General features: G+C 60.4%; 1 protein-coding gene and 1 long non-coding RNA gene across 17 annotated transcripts; one reads left to right on the top strand and one right to left on the bottom strand.

Moving 5' to 3' along the window:
• Positions 1-2,044: 2,044 nt before the first annotated feature.
• Positions 2,045-4,833, bottom strand: LOC285191 (uncharacterized). Its single transcript, NR_149021.1, has 3 exons — positions 3,346-4,833; positions 2,655-2,751; positions 2,045-2,565 (listed from the first exon to the last, which is right to left on the bottom strand). It is a non-coding gene; the product is annotated as an uncharacterized LOC285191 (long non-coding RNA).
• A 2,523-nt stretch (positions 4,834-7,356) lies between these two features.
• Positions 7,357-14,749, top strand: AQP12B (aquaporin 12B). 16 transcript variants are annotated; one of them, XM_047445561.1, is made up of 10 exons: positions 7,358-8,336; positions 8,627-8,936; positions 10,699-10,815; positions 10,960-11,019; positions 11,386-11,522; positions 11,729-11,895; positions 12,145-12,244; positions 12,789-12,826; positions 13,448-13,568; positions 14,423-14,749. In XM_047445561.1, exons 1-10 carry the CDS (start codon positions 8,112-8,114, stop codon positions 14,639-14,641), a joined length of 1,494 nt encoding a protein of 497 aa, XP_047301517.1. In that variant the 5' UTR covers positions 7,358-8,111; the 3' UTR covers positions 14,642-14,749. The 16 variants fall into 16 exon arrangements, 14 of the variants coding, with proteins under 14 accessions (XP_047301519.1, XP_047301517.1, XP_011509975.1 ...); XM_011511673.3 differs by having other exon boundaries at positions 8,282-8,936; XR_922992.3 differs by lacking the exon at positions 12,789-12,826 and having other exon boundaries at positions 8,282-8,936.
• The last annotated feature ends 1,540 nt before the right edge of the window (positions 14,750-16,289 follow it).

Here is a 16,289-nt window from a genome sequence, read left to right as displayed (position 1 = left end):
TGGCTCCCTGCACCTCCACTGTGTCCCCACCTCAGCAGGGACCCCCAAGCTTGTTGACCTGCCTGGGGTCTGGTCTGGGTGAGACCCTCCTCCACCTGCTCTGTGTCCCCTCTGGTCAAGAGTTGGCAGCAGCCCTTGCCCCAGCCCCACATTCCCTGCCCTGTACTGCCCTCACCTGCCCTCAGGAGAACTCAGGACCACGCCTCACATCAACGTCCCTCCCACCTTCCCGCCCCGAAAGCGCTTTCCAGAGATGAAAACCGAAAGTGCCATCGCCATTCACTTGAATTTCCTGCAGAGGGGCCAGCTACCCACAGCTGCGTGGAGAAGGCGCTGAGCCTGGGCGTCTGCAGTGGGAGATAGCTGGGCTGGGACCATCCAGAGCTCCGGACCCCGAGGGGATGGGACATGAGCCCTGTGGGCCCTGCGATGGGCCGTCTGTCACCCTGCAGCATGGATCCTGTCCAGTGAGTCTGCACCCAAGCACTGGGACACCAGCCATGGCCATATGGTACAGCATGTGGGACTTTCTGGATGTCCCGCCCGCAGCCCTTTCCTTCTCCCCCAGGACTCACTCCAGCACCCGAGGCCCTTCCCCCAACCTGGCCCAAAGCTCCCCTTTCTCTGAGACTTAAATTTCCTTTTGTTTTTGGAAACCCAGTTGGGTCCCACCTGGCGTCCCCCTGGCACAGCTGGGGAGACTGAGACCAGGAGGGAATGGACCTGCCTGAGGGCACATAGGAGGCAGCAGCTCGCAAAACAAGGGGCGATTTTATTTCAGCTTTGAACTTTCCAGGTCTGGGGTTCAGAATTTCCTCCAGTTAGGGAAGGTGTCTGGTCGCCTCCAAGGAGGGGAGGCCCCAGGCTCTTCGACTCCCACAGGAAGGCCGCCTGTCCCCCTCCCCAACCCATCCACTGACCTCTTCCCAGGAGGCAGAGAAACCCTGGTTCCAGTAGGGCTGTGGCTGCCTTCGGCTGCCTGTTCCCTGTGCAAGTGCCCTGCCCTCTCAGAGGAGCAGAGGAACCTTCTGGAACCTGTAGAGGCCTGGCATCTGCACAGGGAAAAGCCAGGCTTTCCCTCGTGGGATCCTGTGGAGAATGAGCTCAGACGGATTCCTCATATTCTAATCCGACACCACTGGAGACCTTGACTCCTCCTTCCAGAGCGGGAACCCCCTTGTCCAGCGTCGCGGATACCGGGCCCCACAGTCTCCCTGCATCTGCATTGACCCTCCACGGAGCTCACAGCAGGGAGGGTCTGCGTGGTCCACCTCTACCCCACGCACAGGCAAACCTGAGAAGGAACGTTTAATCACCATTCACAGCCCTTGCTTCTTTCTAGAGAAATAAAACAAACTTACACCAGAATATGAAAACAACGTGAAACACACAAAAGTTAAGTGTGAGCCCGTGCACTGTGACAGGTGTCAGCAGCGTGAGTCTCGCCAGCGTCAGGAGCTGGAACGTCTTCATCATCCCCGAGTCCTCTGGTCCTCCCTGCCCTTCCGCAGCGGGAGGGTCCACTCTTGTGGGTTCCCAGTCCTCCCTGAACTTCCCCAGAGGGAGGGTCCACTCTTGTGGGTTCCTGGTCCTCCCTGAACTTCCCCAGCAGGAGGGTCCACTCTCGTGGGTTCCCGGTCCTCCCCGCCCTTCCCCAGCGGGAGGGTCCACTCTTGTGGGTTATGTGATTCTAGCTTCCCGCTTTCTGTCCGGAGCCTGCAGAGGAATGGGACCACGAGCTACACGTGGGTTGGACCTGCCTGTTTTGAGAGAGGGCCCTGTCCCTGGGGTTCATGTCCCTTGAACATGGTTGAGAATTTTGTTCCTTTTCATTGCTGACTTGAAGCCATGTCATGAAGAGCCACAGCTTGGCCGTTTTTCTGATGATGCCCATGTGGGTGGATTTTAGTTCTTACTACTATGAATAAAGCTGCTGTTAGCATTTTGGTCTATTCTTTCTGTAAACGCAGACTTTTATGTCTTTTGGGTAAATTCCTAAAATGCCCCGGGTGAGCTATGTCCACTGAACAAATCCCACATCTATAAATTTGGAAAGAAGACTTTATTTCCTATAAAGGGGTAGGGCCTTCAGGGTGGCCGTCCTGACACCCTGGGCACCTCAGCCTCTGGCAGAGCCCAGGCCGGGCACCTGGAAGGAGGGGGTTGGGGCAGGAGCTTCATGCTGAGCAGGTCGGCTAAGCATTCCCAGCCTTGCCTGGGCCTGGTCCTCTGGGGCGATGGGGAAGAATGGTGTTCCAGGACGGGGTGGGGGGCACCTGCCCAAGGCCTTCTGCAGGTGACCTGCTGGGCCTGGCCTTGAAGGAACCCCAAGTACACTCACCTGTACCCCTCACAGCCACCTCAAAATGGGCCCGCGATGTCTCAGCTCAGGACTTCCTGGGAGGCGACCTCACCCAAGGCTCCCCAAGGTTCCAGTCCTCAATGTCAGGGAGGGGCAGAAGAGACCAGCGGCTTCTCATCCAGGCCCCACAGTGCTGTGCTGAGCCCCATATGCCCCCCGCTCAGGCGGGTCCAGCACTCCCTGTGGCTCTCGGGGGAGACGAGCTGAAATGGAGTGGGGTCCTTGCTCAGCTCACAGCACCCTCTCCTCAGCCTCACCCCATTGGAAGGTGGCCCCTGAACCCTCTGCCTACCTGTCCTGTGCACTCCTCTGGGTTAGCTCTGAGAAGGCTGGGAAGGCCCTCGACCCACCTTGAGCCAGGTGTGGGAACAGAGTGGTCAGTCTGCGCCCTGGAACAAAGATCAAAGCCAGGGTGAGGCTGGTCCAGAGACGTCCCCAGGCCCTTCCAGGGTCAGCTTCCTTCACCCACAGGCTCCTGGTTCCCCTGGAGGGACCAAGCAAAGCCAACATAGCAGGGAGCCTGCACTCTGCCAAGCCTAGGGGTGCCCTGGCTTCTCCCCTTGCCTGTGTGTGTGGGTGTCTGAGGATCCCAGGGTGGAGATGGGGAGGGACGCGGTGTGGGAGGCCCAGTATTGGGCAGCACCGTTGGAGGGGACTGAGCTCGTCGGGGGGTGACCAGCCCTCAAGGCTTTGGCTGGCTGAGGGGTGAAGGGCCTGTGCCTTGTGCTCCAAGCCTTTCCCGCCTGGACAAAGAGACCCCTGGGCCCGCAACAGCTTCCACAGGAGCCTGGCCCTGCCCCTCCTCGGGTGGCCTGTGGCCACAGGGACCCTTCTCCCACCCTTTTCCCAGGCTCCCTGTGTCCTCACAGCCAGCCCCCACATCTGCAGAGCCCTTCTCTGAAATGCCAGACAGGAAGACACACCACTGAACCTGGAAGCCCCAGCTGGCAGAAAGGGGGTTGGGCACCTCAGGCAGGCCTCACCTGCATGCCCACGCCATGCTGCCCACGGCAGGGCCAGGCCACTCCAGGCCCCTCTGTCCTGCAGGCGAAAAGCCAGGAGTGGAGCTGCACCAGGGTTGGGTCCTGAGCAAGGTGAGGCCCCAGCCCCATCCCCACTCCCCCCAGGGCAGGCCTAGGGTGCGGTCCTGAGGGCGCCTGGGGCTGGCCTGCCCGTGTGCACCCCCCACCCACAGAAAGGGCTGGAAAGAAGTCCCACCTGTAGACGGAGGCCAGAGGAGGGGACAGCCTTGTCCTTGCTCCCCACCCTGCCTGTCTGCACGGGAGCCCACGGTGGGGCCCAGGAGGCACCTCCCTCAGGCCGGCTGTCCCTCCCCACCTGGGGCCCATCAGCTGGGGGTACTGCCAGGTGCTGGAACAGGGCCTGGGGCCTGCTACAACCAAACCTCTAGGCCCCCATATGTGAGTCAGGGTTCTCCAGAGAAACAGAGCTGCTGGGCGATACGTTTAGGAGGAGATTTATTACAGGAATCGGCTCCTTGATCACGGAGGCTGAGAAGTCCCACAAACCGCTGTCCCTAAGCCAGTGAACCCGAACAGCGGGTGGCGTCATTCAGTCCAAGCCCAAACCGCTGGTGTCAGTCCCAGAGCGCAAGGCCTGGGACCCAGAAACTCCTGTGTCTGCGGGCAGGAGGAGATGGACGCCCCAGCCCAAGAAGACAGAGGAACCTCCGGAGTCTGGGTCTGCAATGGGCTGGGTGCTACCCACCCTCATAGCTGAGGCCAGATCTGCCTTCCTCAGCTCACTGACAAATTACCATCTCTTGTGTGACCTGAGAGTGCACAAACACTTCCTGGCAGGGAGGAAAAAGCAGTGACAAGCACATTTAAAAATAATCAATTTGGCTTTATCCGAAGGAAAATGCTCTAGTTATCAAAAGACACTACAAAGAAAATGACCAGGAAGTCTGGGGAGATACTGCAAAACAAATCCCACACAAAAATCTTGTATCCAGAATATAGAAAGAATGATCATAAATCAATAAAAAGATACACAGCCCCACTTTAAAAATGAACAGAAGAGATTGGAATGGACAGACAGTTCATGACTGATGGTTTCACACTTTTTGTCATGAGGGAAATGCAAGTTTAAGCCACGAACAGATAGAACCACACAATCAGCAGAAGAGGTAGTTGTGAAATCTTGACACCACCGACTTTTAAAGACACCAAAACTGTCACACACGACTGGTGAGAGTTAAGATACTACAGCCACTTCGGGAAAGGTTTGGATAGTCCCTTATAACGTTTTCACTCACCTGCCATGTGAGAACTAAAAATGAAATCCTGAGCTCCCGCACCAACAAGCTGAATGGACCCTTCTTGGCCAAGGGGATTCCAGAGAAATCTGAAAAACATGACAAAAATCCCGCCATGACAGAGTGGGAGGTGGGACCCGCCGCGTGACAGCCCCTCCGTCTGTGGTTGGGACACCACACTCACCAGCATGAAGGTGAACATAAAGAGGAGACTGACAAAACAGGTTCCTTGTGGTGATAAGACAGCAAATGATCAACAAGACCTGAGGCCCTGCCTGGCAGGGGTGGAGTCACGCACAAGACACTGAAAAGCAGAAACCAGGGGCTGCCGGCCAGGAGGGTTCTTTTTCTCTAGCAGCTAAACCAGCGCTGGCCACTAGGAAAGCCACACTCACTCAGGTGCAGCTCACCCCCTCCAGATGCTGACACACAGCCCCACTCTTCTGTGCCACCAGCCCTAAGTTTGATTGGCCAAGAGGCTGATTTCTGTAATTCTGACTGGGGACCACCCAGCAGGGACTGGTTCTGGCTGGTTTTCAGGGGCCGTGCAACGAGTGCCTTGGTGTTGCTGCTTCACCTTTCCAGGCAAGGGCCTCACAGGAACACATTTAGATATCACGTGTCCACCCCCAAGGAAACTTGAGACGCATGTCACATGCATGTTTGTTCAGTATGCATGAGTGAGGACCCCTTCCTGAATGTTCACGGCTCCTCCAGCAACCCATGGAGTGTGTGTCCTTAGCCGACCTGTTCAGCATGAAGCTCCTGCCCCAACCCCCTCCTTCCAGGTGCCCGGCCTGGGCTCTGCCAGAGGCTGAGGTGCCCAGGGTGTCAGGACGGCCACCCTGAAGGCCCTACCCCTTTATAGGAAATAAAGTCTTCTTTCCAAATTTATAGATGTGGGATTTGTTCAGTGGACATAGCTCACCCGGGGCATTTTAGGAATTTACCCAAAAGACATAAAAGTCTGCGTTTACAGAAAGAATAGACCAAAATGCTAACAGCAGCTTTATTCATAGTAGTAAGAACTAAAATCCACCCACATGGGCATCATCAGAAAAACGGCCAAGCTGTGGCTCTTCATGACATGGCTTCAAGTCAGCAATGAAAAGGAACAAAACTCTCAACCATGTTCAAGGGATATGAACCCTCAGGGACAGGGCCCTCTCTCAAAACAGGCAGGTCCAACCCACGTGTAGCTCGTGGTCCCATTCCTCTGCAGGCTCCGGACAGAAAGCGGGAAGCTAGAATCACATAACCCACAAGAGTGGACCCTCCCGCTGGGGAAGGGCGGGGAGGACCGGGAACCCACGAGAGTGGACCCTCCTGCTGGGGAAGTTCAGGGAGGACCAGGAACCCACAAGAGTGGACCCTCCCTCTGGGGAAGTTCAGGGAGGACTGGGAACCCACAAGAGTGGACCCTCCCGCTGCGGAAGGGCAGGGAGGACCAGAGGACTCGGGGATGATGAAGACGTTCCAGCTCCTGACGCTGGCGAGACTCACGCTGCTGACACCTGTCACAGTGCACGGGCTCACACTTAACTTTTGTGTGTTTCACGTTGTTTTCATATTCTGGTGTAAGTTTGTTTTATTTCTCTAGAAAGAAGCAAGGGCTGTGAATGGTGATTAAACGTTCCTTCTCAGGTTTGCCTGTGCGTGGGGTAGAGGTGGACCACGCAGACCCTCCCTGCTGTGAGCTCCGTGGAGGGTCAATGCAGATGCAGGGAGACTGTGGGGCCCGGTATCCGTGACGCTGGACAAGGGGGTTCCCGTTCTGGAAGGAGGAGTCAAGGTCTCCAGTGGTGTCGGATTAGAATATGAGGAATCCGTCTGAGCTCATTCTCCACAGGATCCCACAAGGGAAAACCTGGCTTTTCCCTGTGCAGAGGCCAGGCTTCTATGGCTTCCAGAAGGTTCCTCTGCTACTCTGAGAGGGCAGGGCACTTGCACAGGGAACAGGCAACCGAAGGCAGCCACAGCCCTACTGGAACCGGGGTTTCTCTGCCTTCTGGGGAGAGGTCAGTGGACGGGTTGGGGAGGGGGACAGGCAATCTTCCTGTGGGAGTCGAAGAGCCTGGGGCCTCCCCTCCTCCTTGGAGGCGACCAGACACCTTCCCTAACTGGAGGAAATTCTGAACCCCAGAACTGGAAAGGTCAAAACTGAAACAAAATCGCCCCTTGTTTTGCGAGCTGCTGCCTCCTCTGTGCCCTCAGGCAGGTCCATTCCCTCCTGGTCTCAGTCTCCCCAGCTGTGCCAGGGGGACGCCAGGTGGGACCCAACTGGGTTTCCAAAAACAAAAGGAAATCTAAGTCTCAGAGAAAGGGGAGCTTTGGGCCAGGTTGGGGGAAGGGCCTCGGGTGCTGGAGTCAGTCCTGGGGGAGAGGGAAAGGGCTGTGAGGGGGACATCCAGCAGGTCCCACGTGCTGTACCCCGTATGGCCATGGCTGGTGTCCCAGTGCTTGGGTGCAGACCCAGTGGACAGGATCCATGCTGCAGGGTGACAGACGGCCCATCGCAGGGCCCACAGGGCTCATGTCCCATCCCCTCGGGGTCCGGAGCTCTGGATGGTCCCAGCCCAGCTATCTCCCACTGCAGACGCCCAGGCTCAGCGCCTTCTCCACGCAGCTGTGGGTAGCTGGCCCCTCTGCAGGAAATTCAAGTGAATGGCGATGGCACTTTCGGTTTTCATCTCTGGAAAGCGCTTTCGGGGCGGGAAGGTGGGAGGGACGTTGATGTGAGGCGTGGTCCTGAGTTCTCCTGAGGGCAGGTGAGGGCAGTACAGGGCAGGGAATGTGGGGCTGGGGCAAGGGCTGCTGCCAACTCTTGACCAGAGGGGACACAGAGCAGGTGGAGGAGGGTCTCACCCAGACCAGACCCCAGGCAGGTCAACAAGCTTGGGGGTCCCTGCTGAGGTGGGGACACAGTGGAGGTGCAGGGAGCCAAGAATGAGAGGACCTTCCCATAGGCAGGGACGCAGCCACGTGCAGGGGGCCTGGCCTAGCTGGGGACACAGCCAGGAGCAGGGAGCAGGGGGCACTCACTCAAGGGAAGACATCTACAGGTGCAGGCAGGAGGGAGCTTCACCTAGGCTGGGTCAAAGAACAGGTGCAGGGGCCATGAGGGGCCTCCCAGGCGGACACACAGTGCAGGTTCAGTGGGGGTCTCACCCCAGTGGGGACACAGTGCAGGTGCAATAAGCCTGGGGCCCTCACTGAGATGGGGACACAGCATCCATGCAGGGAGGCGGAAATGGGGGCCCTTGTTCAGGCAGGGACCTGGAGGGGGTGCAGGATCTGGGAGACCCTGACTCAAGAGGGGCCAGGTGCAGGGAGCAGGTATTGGGGTCCGGTACCCAAGAGCGCAGGTAGGAGGAGCGGAGCTCGGATGGAGGCTCTGAAGAGCTGGGCCAGTCTCCAGCGCCCAGGGCTGGCCGAGCGTGGCCAGTGGATCCGGGTGTGTCACATGACGGGATGATGCCAGGCTGTGGGGCAGGGCCCCTGTGGCCATCCTGGCTGTGCACCTGGGTGGCAGCCAGTGGGGCGGGAGCTGGGGCTGCAGCTGTGGTGTTCCCAGAGGCCCAGGTGCCCTCTCCCACACGCCTGGGCCCTCTGGGTTGTGGGAACCGGCCAGCTCCTGCTCTGTCCCCTCAGGTGTCCTGCAGGCACAGCATCTCGGGGGGCCCAGGCCGATGGCAGGTCTTAACGTGTCCCTCTCCTTCTTCTTTGCCACCTTCACCCTCTGTGAGGCAGCCAGGCGGGCCTCCAAGGCCCTGCTCCCAGTGGGCGCCTATGAAGTCTTCGCCCGGGAGGCGGTGGGCGCGGTGCAGCTCGGGGCCTGCTTCCTGGAGATGAGGACGCTGGTCGAGCTCGGGCCCTGGGCTGGGGACTTTGGGCCTGACCTGCTGCTCACCCTGCTCTTCCTGCTCTTCCTGGCGCACGGGGTCACCTTGGACGGGGCCTCGGCCAACCCCACCGTGTCCCTGCAGGAGTTCCTCATGGCCGAGGAGTCTCTGCCTGGCACGCTGCTGAAGCTGGCGGCACAGGGGCTGGGCATGCAGGCCGCCTGCACCCTGACGCGCCTCTGCTGGGCCTGGGAGCTCAGTGACCTGCACCTGCTGCAGAGCCTCATGGCCCAGAGCTGCAGCTCGGCCCTGCGCACATCCGTGCCCCACGGGGCGCTTGTGGAGGCCGCCTGCGCCTTTTGTTTCCATCTGACCCTCCTGCACCTGCGGCACAGTCCTCCCGCCTACAGCGGGCCCGCTGTGGCTCTGTTGGTCACCGTCACGGCCTACACGGGTGAGCACTGCTTCCCCTTCCCCTGGGCCCCTGAGGACCTCTCACCTGTGTGGCCTCCATGCACACTCAGGCCCGTTTGCACCCAGGATAGGGGGCTGCTGGCCCGGGTGGCCAACAAACCCACAAGAAGAGGCGGTGATTTCCTGGGATCTGGCGGGTAGACGAGGGCCTGCGCTGGACATGGGGTGCGGTGGAGCAGCCTGTCCCCTGCCAGGGCCATCCTGCCCACTGCACCTCTCCCCAGTCCCAGCTATTCTTGGTCCTCCCAGAAGTTCTGCCTCTGGGGTAGTAGGGACAGCCGAGGCAGACGATTCAAGGCCCAGCCCAGTTTCCTGGTCTGGTGTGGGAGTCCCTGCACCCTCTATCACCCCTTCCAGAGCGACAGGTCCTGTCTCACCTGCCCCAGTTGGCCTCCCTGGCCTCCTACTGACACCTGCATCCTGCGATCTCTGCCTGCACCTGGACCAACCGTGGCACCCAGCTCTCATGGTCCCATCACCCCCTTGTGAGCTCCCTCCACTCAGACCCTCCGTCTGATCCAGTCCCCCATGTCTGCTTTCCCCTCCGAGCGCTAGGCTCCACCACCACGAAAGCCTTTGCTCAGCAAGTTCCCAGGACAGGTGTCCACAGCGCTGGGGCTGCAGGGAGAGCCAGGGGAGCCGGCTCGTGCTCCAGGCACCACAGGAAGGGCTGCAGGGAGAATGGTGCCAGGTCTCCTTCCGGGGGTCCGAGGTCCTAATCAGGACAGGACCAGCACTTAGGTCCATGGCACTGCCCACGACCCAGCACTGGGCAGACACCACGGAACCTGGACCACAAAGGCCACAGGAAGGTGCCACCAGAGCCCCGTACAGTTGGGGAAACTGAGGCACGGGTGAGCGGGAGCTCTGCAGGGACACGGCTCTGTGGCAGATTGCCCGGGCCTCTGTCCTGGGTGGCACCGGAGAGCTCCCGTCAAGGGTCCTGCCTCCACGAGGCACAGGGCGCCTGGTCTCAGGGACGGAGCTGCCCATCCTCAGGGTCCTGGTTTACACCTGGGCGGCCGCAGACTCCATGTCCCTGTGGTCCCTGCCCTCCGCTAGGCCCACTCCCTGCTCTTCCGTGCCCAGAGGCAGGTCCCCGGTATTGGTGGATTCTGTTATTTGGGGTGGTCACCCAGGCCTGGGGCTGCAGGACAGCGGCCCGGCTGCCGCCGCCTTCCCTTGTCTCACATCGCACAGCCATGTCGTCTTCTCTCCTCTGCTGCTGCTCCTTTATTTCTGAGATCTCTCTCTGTCTCTCCTCTCTCTCTCTGTCTCTCCTCTCTCTCTCTGTCTCTCCTCTCTCTCTCTGTCTCTCCTCTCTCTCTGTCTCCCTGTCTCTCTCTGTGTCTTTTTGTCTCTCTCTCACTATCTGTCTCTCTTAGTGTCTCTCTCCATCTCTCTCTGTCCGTCTTTCTCGAAGGCCACATCCCACAGGGTGGGGTGCTGGAGGGCAGCATGGGCGGGGCACGGGATCCCGGTGAGATGTCGCGAGGGTGTTGGACGGCCCTGGGGGGCCCCCAAGCTGCTGCCCCTGACCCAGACCTTGGCTGACCCGGCCTTGCTGCATCGTGTGTCCATCGGTGCGGGGGACCAGGCGGGGCTTCAGGAGCCGAGAGCAGCTCCCAGGCCTGCACACAGTGGGGCTCTCGGTGTGGATTCGGTGGCGGGGATCAGGTCCTGGCCTGCAGAGGGGCGTCAGGCAGGGCTGGGGACCAGGGCTGTCTGTGCTCTGCCCACAGCCGGGCCCTTCACGTCTGCCTTCTTCAACCCTGCCCTGGCCGCCTCTGTGACCTTTGCCTGCTCGGGACACACCTTACTGGAGTACGTGCAGGTGTACTGGCTGGGCCCTCTGACAGGTAAGGGCAGGGGCAGGGTGGGGTCCCTAGGGCTGCTGGGGCCCACAGAGCATCCTGGCACGTGGGGTCCTGCAGGGTGGAGGTGAGGGTGCCTGGTCAGTGCTCCTGGGGAGGTCTCTGCAGTGGGCATGGTTTGGGGGGTAGGGGCTGTGACGGCATGTCTCACTGTGGACACCGTCCCGGTGCCGAGCAAGCTGCAGCCAGGTAAGGAGGCCACAGGCTGGGGAAAGGCCAACCTTGCAAGGGGTGCTGGGCACACGGGGGATGGTGTCTGCAGTGGGGCTCCATGCACCTGGGGTTCCCGTCCCAGGTGGCATCTCCACACACCCAGAGCCAGACTCCGCCGAGGGGGGCTCATTCTGGTGTCCCTAAAGCCTCAGGAGGCAGAGAGCCCCGCTTAGATGATATAGGGTGCCATCGTGCACTTATAGGGCTGTGAGCATGGGGCTGGAGCAGCCAGGCCCTTTGCATCCTGGTGGGGCAGACCCGGGACTCGCTGATGCACACAGGGGACCCCAGAGTTCCCCCACAGTGTGTGCCCCTCCTTTCTTATATCCTGGATCCAAGCAGAGGAGCAGCATGGGGAGGTCATGGAGCCCCCTCTTGGACCTAGATCTGGGGATTCTGGCCCCTGGCTTCAGAGGCCCAGGTGGAGCCCACACCTTCTCCTGCACCTGCTCTCAGACACTCGGCTCCACCTCACTGAGGTACCAGAAGGGCAGCTGGGTTCCTATGGAATTCTGGAAGCTTTTTTCAGCTTCTGCTGGCTCTACACTGGGGAGGTCTCAGGGGCAATGCCTCAGCCTCCCCTTGGGGGGAAAGACAGGAGCTGGGGGTCTCTCAGGCACCTGGCCCTGCGATGGTGACACTGACGTCATCGTGATTTGTCGCCATGGTTCTGATGTGGTCACAGTCTCTCAGGCATGTGCAGGGTCCTAGGAAGCATACGAAGTGCATCAGGAACCCCCTCCTGCCCCCGTTGCCGAGGCAGCACTGCCCTCTGCTAGGAACAGCTCCGTGTTGGCCTCTCTGTCCCCACACACTGGGCCTGCAGGGCTTCTCCGAGACTCTTCAGTTCAGGTATCAACCCTGGGCTGTCTCCTGGGATGTGGGGGGCGGATGTTCTTTCCTTGCCTCCCCACGCTCCTCCTGCGGATCCTTCACTCCGGGTGGGTCGGCCTCTTCCTCCTGATCAGCTCCAGAGCCCCCTCTAGTTCCCTGGCATGGAAACACGGCCCGGGTGAGCTGTGGTGGCCCCGGAGGCCTCTCCGCTCCTGCACAGGCCTTGCTTCCTGCGGGTGACGAGGTCCTGGACTCTCTCCTGCCCAGGCTTCTGGGTGCTTTCCTTAGTTCAGCACCAGTGCTCTGTGTGGGCAGCGTCTCCCCCGAGGATCCGCAGCTCCGGGTTACCCGCAGGCGTCCATCTCCGGTATGGTGCTGCCCTTCACTGATCCTGGTTGTATTTCTGTTTCCTGCTTTCCTCATCGCCTCCTGTTTCGGTTGATTCCTTCTTTTTGCTGGTGCCCGTCTCACAGTAGCTTCCTGAGAACGGGGACCTGGCAGGTACACTTCAGACCTCCTGTGTCTGAAATAGTGTCCTGGTTCTGACCTGCACTTGAGTGTCGGTGAGGCCTGGGCAGGGTTCCGGGTGGGAGCTCAGTTTCGTCCTGAGTTTCTCAGGCCCCAACCATGGCCTGTGGTGGCTTCACGGGCTACAAGGCAAAGGACGCAAACGAAGAGGCTTCACGTGACAGGGTTGTATGCTCAGCCAGCTCTGGAGGCTGGAGTCTGAGCTGGCAGCACTGACAGGGTCAGCTCTCCTCGGAGGCTGCTGGGGAGGAGCCTCCTGCCTCTTCCGGGCTCCGGGGGCCTCTGGCACCCCCGGTGTCCCCGGGCTTGGAGACGCAGCACTCCCATGTCTGCCGGTTCCCCTGGCCGCCTCCTCTGTGTCATTGTCTGTTCTCTTCATATAGGGACACCAGTCATCGAATTGGAGGTTCACTCTACTCAAGTATGACGTCACCGTGATTTCACTGATTTTATGTCCCAGGCCGTATTCTAACAAGGGCACATCCTGTGTTCTGGGAAGGGCGTGTCGCTGGGGAAATACTCTTCACCCGGCTGCAACCTCTCACTGTAGAACTGCCTCTGTGGAGAAGCCCAAAGGGCATTTGCGGCTTCTAGGAGCCAAGTAGGAGGAGGCTGGGATCCGTGTTTCAGGCGGGACTCCAGGCTTGGGCGGGCCTGATACTCGAGTCCACATGCCCCCTCTAGAGAGGAACCTGTCTCCTGCCAGGGCCAGGGAGGGGGGCACTGGCTGCTTCTGTATTTTGGGGTTTGGGGCCCTGGAGCTTCCCATGCGGAATTGCCGTCCCTCCTCCTAGGCGAGTCCCAGGGCCACCCCATCCCACAGGGACCCGGGCGCCAGCTTCTGAAAGCATGGGGCATCTGCGGAAGAACTGGGTTGTTTCCCAGCTTTCGTCCCTGCGGAGGGGCGATCCGGCCCCTCCATGTCAGCAGTGTTTGGTCGTCCACATGCTTGTCAGCCCCACGCTGTGCTCCTGCGTCTCTTCCCGTCTCATCCATCTGGATGCTTGACACCTCTGACAGCATCCCTTTCCTGTCATCTTAGGGCAGCTTCAGGAAACCGAAAAACAGGCTTGTGTCCTTCCATTAACCCCTTTATCCACAAGTTCAGTATCAGCATGAGCCCTGGGGAGCTCCAAGGCTGCAGCCAGGAGCCCCGTAGCCAGGTGTGGACATGGGGCTATCTCCCTGGGTGTGAGCGGCCACCGGCACCTGCTGGCAGCACCCCTGAGCAGGTCATCCCGCCTCCCTGGGCCTGCCCTCCTGGGAACAGAGCTAGGACCAGTGTGGGCCTGGAGGGCCGAGTGAGGGGCAACTGTAGGCAAGCTGTAGGCACAGGGGCCACTGTCAGGAGCCACAGCAGCTGCAGGTGGTGACAGGCAGGGCCCCCTCAGGCCAGCCCTAGTGGAGCTCACACACTGTGGGTTAAATCCTTAGAGGAGTGAGATCAAACTTGAAGAGGATCTACTCTCCCCTTCTGCCCGGAACACCTGCCCTTCCCAATGACCTGGAAGGCAGGCGGGGATTTAGGAGTCTCTGCTCCTGGAGTTCTGGGAGAACGTTCGCATGAGGATTTAGCCAGGCCCAGCCTCCCACCCAGGGGCATCCACATCTTTCTTGTCCACTCACATCCCCCACCTCTACGCCAGGCCACAGCCCTGCAAGCAGCCACCCTGGGACGCCACATCAGGTCCCGGAGGAAAATGGCCACAGAAGCTCTGGGAGTGGCTCAGGACAATGTGGGGGGAGGGGAATTCCAGTCACTCATCCCAGAGGGTGGTCCAGAAGTACAAGGAACCCCACCGGCTTGCCCCCGTCCCCATGGCTGGCATACCCAGAGAGAGGGGCATGACCAGGGCGGGAAGACCAGGACCAGGCAGGAGCTGGGCCTCAGGGTTCTTGGGGCTCCTGGCCAGGCTGCCTGGCTCGCCTGTCCTGGCACAGGCCTGGGAGTGGGTGTCCTGTCTGTGTTTGGGCCCAGGAGCCCCGCGGCCCACCTGGGACCTGCCTTCTCTTGCAGGGATGGTCCTGGCTGTGCTGCTGCACCAGGGCCGCCTTCCCCACCTTTTCCAGAGGAACCTGTTCTACGGCCAGAAGAACAAGTACCGAGCACCCCGAGGGAAGCCGGCCCCGGCCTCAGGGGACACCCAGACCCCTGCAAAGGGGTCCAGTGTCCGGGAGCCTGGGCGCAGTGGTGTTGAGGGGCCACATTCCAGCTGAGTGGCCTTGCTCTGTGTGAGCCCCGTGCGAGGGCCCTGCTTGTAGCTGGACCCTGGAACCTTCTGTAGCTAAGAGGGAATCCTGGCCCCCTCCCCAGAAGCCATTTGTCAATAAACCATTTCTAAGACCTGTGTGTCCCCCTGGGCCCGAGAGAGGCTTCTGGAGGGGCAGGCAAGGGTGTGCGGCAACACGGTGAGGCTGGTCCGAGTCTCCCCATCTCCCGCGGGCTCCTTCCTGCCTCTTGTTACAGAAGAAGCAGGAGAGGAAAGGGCAGGATGACAGGGAAGAGCCCAGGGAGTCCGCCAGGTCCCAAGTCTGCCAAGATGATGCTGCAGCCCTGGACATGCCCGGGAGGGAGCCCACAGCCACGGAGGCCTGAGACCCGATGGGATGCTGAGGATGGTGCTGGAGCCTGAGGCTGTAGGCTTGTGAACTAGGCACAGGGCACCCAGTCCCACGGGCCCTGAGTTCGCGACCGTCAGGACCATGGTCCGCTCGCCGCCCAAAGCCAGGTCAATCACTGAGACCTTGGTGGCAGAACTGGGACCTGGAGGCATGGCACCTCCAGCCATTTCCTTCCCAAAGAACAGAGCCGGTCTGGAAACTTCCACCCAAAGGAGATAACGGCCCTCTGCTATGGGTCCTGCTGCCCCACCCAGAGGGAGGGAGTGAGGTGGCCGGTGCTCCTGCCACAGGCTGTACCCCGTCCTCTGGTGGGCAGCAGCCCTGGGCTCAGCCGCTCTGCTATGGGGGAAGGACGAGAGGAGAAAGCAGGGAGATGTCCTCGATGCGGGGGGCTACGGGACACCCCAACCCCAGTGAGACCTCCACCCCGGCCAGCGTCCAGGCTCTTGACACCATCGTGAGAAGGAATTCAGGGGCGAGTTGGCAAATAGTGAAAGACCAGAGATTTCCTGCGAAGCCCAAAGCTCCCACTGGAGAAAGGGAGTGTGGCGCCCTCTAGAGTCCCGTCCCGGGCAGGGGCGCTGGGGCTGGAGGAATCCACAGGATTCCTGGAAAACGTGGAGATGTCTCAGAGCTGCGGCGCCGCCCACTTCTTACACCAAATCTGGGTGTTCTGGAGCCATCACGCGCTGGTGGGGGTGTGACGAGTGTGCTAATGAGCGCACCGTGAGGTCGCGGGAGACACCGGGGCACAGCCAGAGCCCTGTGGGGTCCAGGCGGTCTCAGCCAGCACGGCCACACCCCGGTGTTTTGGGTCCTGTCAGCCACTCGCTGCTGCAGGGTTTCCTTTTGCTAGAGATGAGAAGGGGCTGCCTGGAACTTCCACTCCCCTCTGACCACCCTGTATGATTCCCGTCTCATGGTGCGTGGGCTTCTCCCTGGGGATGCCGGTGAGGCCACGTTTTCCTGGACGAGCGTTTGGTGGAGGGAGAGAAAGAAGAATCCTCTCCCCTCCCGGAGGTTGCCCCTTCACACACACACCCTCCTCCCCGAAGCTGCCCCTTCACACACACACCCTCCTCCCCGCCAGAAAGCCCCTTCACACACACACCCTCCTCCCCGAAGCTGCCCCTTCACACACACACCCTCCTCCCCACCAGAAAGCGCCTTCACACACACACTCTCCTCTCTGAGGCTGCCCCTTCACACACACACTCTCCTCTTTGAAGCTGCCCCTTCACACACACACCCTCCTCCCTGCG

Source organism: Homo sapiens, chromosome 2 (assembly GCF_000001405.40).
Source record: "Homo sapiens chromosome 2, GRCh38.p14 Primary Assembly".
Classification (NCBI taxonomy): domain Eukaryota; kingdom Metazoa; phylum Chordata; class Mammalia; order Primates; family Hominidae; genus Homo; species Homo sapiens.
This window is presented reverse-complemented; position numbering and strand designations above follow the sequence as displayed.